We start from the raw sequence: 5,273 nt of genomic DNA, 5'->3' as shown, positions 1-5,273 counted from the left end.
ATTGCTATTCTTTCTCTCTCCTTCTCTCTCTTTGGGATACAGTTTGGCTTTGAAAAAATATGGTATATATGCAGTGTTTGGTCAAATAATTTAGCACTATGGAAAAGGTTGTGAACCAGTCATAGTATTTGAGGTTGTAAGAAGAAACCTTTGCAAAGGTAGTGGCTGCACAAATGTATTAACTTAGTAATACAAAGTAGGGAGTTCTGAAACTGTGGTGGAAATATTGCCTGCCTTGACTACCTGTTCTTCTTGAGTCCGTTTGCTGATCAGAACTCAGGTAACTTAAAAGTCATACACCCTGGAAAGGAGTAAAGAAAGAGGAAAGATCCTCAGCGGCTATACAAGTGAGAGATATGGCAGAGTTCTAATAAGATTGAGTAAAAGCTTGATACTGTCTTACATGAAAGGAGCAAATAATTGTTCTACCTGGAATGTCCGGGCCCCAATTCACAAATGCATTCTTACCTTTTGAACTGAATAATGATCTCTTTCCCGATAAACTGTTCTAAGACAAAAAATCTGAAAGGAAAATTGTTGCACACACATCATATTCTTATATTCTGTATTTTCTGGGACAGTCTGTTTCAGATTAGATGATGAGTCCTAATTTAGGTTTGCAAAATATTATCAAGGCAAATCTTTATGAAGATTTTATTGAGATATTATTTTATAACAAAAAAATGGGATAACTGTAATGTTCAACAAAAAGATTGGTGGTAGAAGGAAGGAAGATGTTGGAGTGTTCAGTAACCTTACCCCAGAATGCTGCAGTACAAATTCTGTGAGAAGTCATTCTTGTGTAGTAGAGGCATTCATTTTTCTCCTAATATCCCTTCTGAAAATTCCCTTTTACTAGTCAGCTCTTAGCTTCTTGGAAGGAAGGCCCTTCGTCTAGGACAATGTTCATCTCACCACATAAAAATTCACAATTCATGGCACGTTAGTTCAATAAAATATTATGCTTTCTATGAATGATAATTATAAAAACTTGCTATAAATGGGAGCGAGTTTAACATTAAATCACATGAAACAGACATATTAACAAAAATAGATACATTAGAGCAATTGAATTATAAATGTTTTTTTCCTTCAAAAATTTTCCTTCATGTTATGTTCACATTCTTTTAGCAGCAAATGACAATGAACTGCCATTGATTTTATTTTATTTTTTGAACTTAAGTAGTGTATCCACAAGTACACCATTGCCCTGTCCAATCTTTAGGGGAGATATTCTATTATCTAAAACTCGGTAAATTGACCTATCATGTTGTTGGTGATATCTTATTTAGGTAAAAATATTAGGTATTTAGAACAATGCATTTCTGAATATTTTGACTGATATTATTATAGATGGATTTAGAATCTGCCCTTTAGGGGTCCAGAAGGAGGTAATGTTTGGATATCATTAGGCTAGAATATTTTATTGTCCTACAAAAATGTTGATAAATTGCTTATAAGGGCTTATGTATTAGTAATGACCATGTCACCAAAATAATAAACCCAAATATGATAAGAATCACAATCAGAAAATATATTTTTTCTTCTTTTATTTACAACCAACCAAACAAAATAACATAGCTATAATTTTGTCAATCTCAGAACAATAAATTTAAGTAAAATAGAACATAAAGAATTTTTATCACAGATGAATCAGATGGAAACTATCCAGAAAACACCCAAATATGTGTATTCCTCAGTTAATACTCAGTCTAGGTGCCAAAGGGAAACCACACGCTTCCATTTATCTATATGATTTGGCAACTTTAATTTGTAAGGGGTCCAACAGGTGTTTAATTTCATAGGCTGATATAGTCAATATCACTAGGTCCATATTTTTTAGATTTAAATAACTATATAATTCTGATTTCTCTTTGTTAGACTGTACTGATCTGATCATGGAGGAATAATCTAATATGCCTTAGATTATGTTGGAACTCCCCAGAACTTTCCTCAGGGCTGCCTTTATCTCCTTATTCTGGAGGCTATAGATAAGGGGATTGAAGAGTGGGGTCACCATAGCATAGAACAAAGTTTCAATTTTCTGCATCCCTGTAGAATGTCCGAGTCCTGGGCTCACATACATGACCATAAGAGAGCTATAGCACAGTGATACCACAGCCAAATGAGACCCACAGGTAGAGAAGGCCTTATGTCTCCCAGTGCTTGAAGGCATACCCAACATAGCTTTCAGGACAAGAGTATAGGATCCAATAATAAAGAGGAAGTTACCAAAAATAACTAATGAGCTTAGAGTGTAGCAAAACAGTTGGATTCTTGGGGCAGAAACACAATCCAATGCAAATCGTGGCCCTGGGTCACACACAACATGGTCAATAATGTTTGGGCCACAGAAGGGCATCTGAGAGATGAGAACAATGGGGATCAGGAACCACAGAAATCCACAAACCCAGCACAGTATGACCAGTTTGGCATAGAGATGCCCAGTCATGATATTAGGATAGAGCAAGGGACGGCAGATAGCAAGGTACTGATCAAAGGCCATCACAGTCAAAAGCAAGCATTCTGATGTACCCAAAGAGAAGAAGAAATAAAACTGGAGAAAACATCCAGCAAAGGAGATGTTTTTTTTCTCTGAAAGGAAGTTGACCAACATCTTGGGAACTGTAGAAGAGACATACCATATCTCTAAAAAGGAGAAATTTCCCAGGAACATGTACATGGGAGTGTGAAGTCGCCGGTCACACCACAGGACAAAAGCAATGGCTCCATTCCCTGTTATAGTCAGTGCATATGTTGTAGTAAAGAGTGAGAAGAGGAAGATCTGAATTGTCCACTCACAAGAGAAACCTTGGAGTATAAATTCATTTACAAAAGCAAAGCTGGAATTTGGCTCAGAGACATTCATTAGGCCAGTGACCTGCAAGGTCAAGGGACACATTATCAGTCAGGACTCTTTTATAAAATGTGTTCCTTTTTTAAGAATGAAGAGAAGATAATGAACATGAAGTCATTTTTCAAAAGAATAATTAGGAAGAGAATGTAGTTTACTTTTTCTCGGCTATACAGTATATGAGTTTTGGGCTTCGTAGGTAGCTGATTGAACAAAAACAAACTTCTGCCATCTTCTAAATCTCTCCTTAATATGCAATCGTGATAGAACTAGGTAAAGTTAAATTCCTTTTGTAAGGTCATTATTTTGAGACAGAAATGATTGAATATAGTTTCTGGATAGCATACAACTCAAAGTTAGTACTTTGAGAAGGCACAAATGTGTTAGTTTCTTACTGCAAACCCAACTTATGGTGCAATAGACTCAGTAAAGAAAGTTTTGACCATTTACATTTCAGCTAAACATATTACTTAACATTATTTACATATGCAAAAGAAATGCACATATTTTAAAATAAATTGGTAGCAATCACGTTAAAGCCATTATCTCTGAATTTCTATTGCTGCTGTTGTTAGCTTAAGTGATTATCTAATGTTACTCACCAATATTGATTTTTAATATTAATATTGTAAAGCTGCAATGTTTTCTGTAGAAAGCAAAGGCTTTAAGCTTCTGATTAATCTTTTACCTTAATTTCATAAACTGATATAGTGATTATTATATTGATAAAATCAATATAATATTGATTTAGTCATTATGTACAAAAGTTTGCAAAGATCTAGACATTAAACTTTACTTTTGAAGGTATTTCATAAAATTTTGAGATTGATTTTCCTTATATGCTTTTTTTAAAATTGAAAATTTTTACCAGATGACAGAAATCAAACACTTATTTTGTTATAGGTAAACTTCCTTCTTCCTACATTCTTATAAAAATATATTAGGGATTTGAGTTACCTGGAAAAAACTTTTCTTTTCCTCAGAAATATGGAGGGATGTGAGTCCTAGATGTCAAGAGGACATTTTGAGCAGAAACACAAATTTTCAAAAGTTTTTCTTCCAACTTGCTCTCTACACCAGTGCTCTGGGAAGTCTTTTGGTATGACTAGTTAGAAGTTATGTTTGTGCTTCTTTTAGTAATATATGTCTCTTTAATAGGCTTCCAACCAGAATCATTAATAAACCAACATTAAGAAATTATGGAATGAAAAGGGATTGACACAGGAGTGTCATGATTCTCAGCAGTGCTCAAAAGGTGAAGCCATCATCGTTTTGACAGGAACCAAATCTCTAAATGATTTATTTTATAAATCATATTATGTCTTCAGCTAGACAGAGTTTTATTGTGGCCGGCCCCAAAATTAAAAATGCACTTTATGAAACTCACATTCTCCTGGGATGTAGCCTCTATAGCATTAGGAAAGTTATCTTCCAAGATGAATCTTTAAAAAGTTAATGATTACATATTCTCTGAAGAATCAGTAAAGAGTAATGACAACTATTCTAAGGCATCATTATTTACAAAGAGCTTGCCCACCAGATGGATTCCAGAAAATCTTCTGGAAGACACAGTCTGAGGAGAAATAAGATACAAAATGTTACCAAAAGTTTTGACATAATGTTTAGGAACATTTCAAGTGTTACTGTGCATATATTGGAGGATATACAGCCCAGTGAGGAAAATACTGAGGTTCCAACATTGTCACACATTGAACAAAAACTTACAGAATTTAGAAATAACTTTTAGAAGGATGGCACTTTTTTGCCAGAATCCTTTAGATATGAGAAGAAAGTATAAGAAGTAGCAACATTTAAGTTAATTAACAGAAATACTTCAGAGGAACATGTGACTTCCCAATTAATAGAGAGAAGTATTTACTTGTATTTATTAGTATCTCTTCTATTTTTACTTTATGACATTTAGGGGCCAACATAGTGTAACTAAACACTCATGTGTGAGTGAATGCTCATACCAAGTGCTGTGAAGTAGTTGAGGACATCAGGGATGTATGCCCTAGGACCACAGACATCTGTCTAAAAGCAAACTTCCACTTTGAGAGACTACAGAGGAAAATGTTTATTCAGACCTTTATTATCACTTAGTCATAATACTTAGAAACTTCTAAAACATAGCTTTGATATTCTCGTCTGCTCAAAAGCTGTCAATGATTTCAAGTTCCCAAGTTCTCCACAAATTGACTTCAAATGACTTTCTTGGTGTTATTTTTCCCTACTCTCTTTTGCAGATAAATTAGACAGTAGACAGCATTTCATTCTCTGAATAGCTTCAGTTTCTTATGTTCTCTTCTTTGTGATCATTTTCTGTATTTGGAATTCTATTTATCTCCATCTACATCTGTACAAACCCTCCTTCAAGGTCCAGTTCAAAAGACATTTTTTTTTCCCAAAATGTTTTCCT

At 34.3% G+C, this 5,273-nt stretch overlaps 1 protein-coding gene across 1 annotated transcript; it reads right to left on the bottom strand.

The window, feature by feature from the left end:
• Positions 1 to 1,921: 1,921 nt before the first annotated feature.
• Positions 1,922 to 2,869, bottom strand: OR11H1 (olfactory receptor family 11 subfamily H member 1). The gene has a single exon (NM_001005239.2). It carries the CDS (start codon positions 2,867 to 2,869, stop codon positions 1,922 to 1,924), a length of 948 nt encoding a protein of 315 aa, NP_001005239.2.
• Positions 2,870 to 5,273: the final 2,404 nt, after the last annotated feature.

This window comes from Homo sapiens, chromosome 22, assembly GCF_000001405.40.
Source record: "Homo sapiens chromosome 22, GRCh38.p14 Primary Assembly".
In the NCBI taxonomy this organism is placed as follows: Eukaryota; Metazoa; Chordata; class Mammalia; order Primates; family Hominidae; genus Homo; species Homo sapiens.
Note: the sequence above shows the minus strand (reverse complement) of the source record. Positions and strands in the feature narration are given on the sequence as shown.

Coding starts and splice junctions, on each gene's coding strand:
- OR11H1 (NM_001005239.2), bottom strand. CDS start 2,869: ATGAATGTCTCTGAGCCAAATTCCAGCTTTGCTTTTGTAAATGAATTT.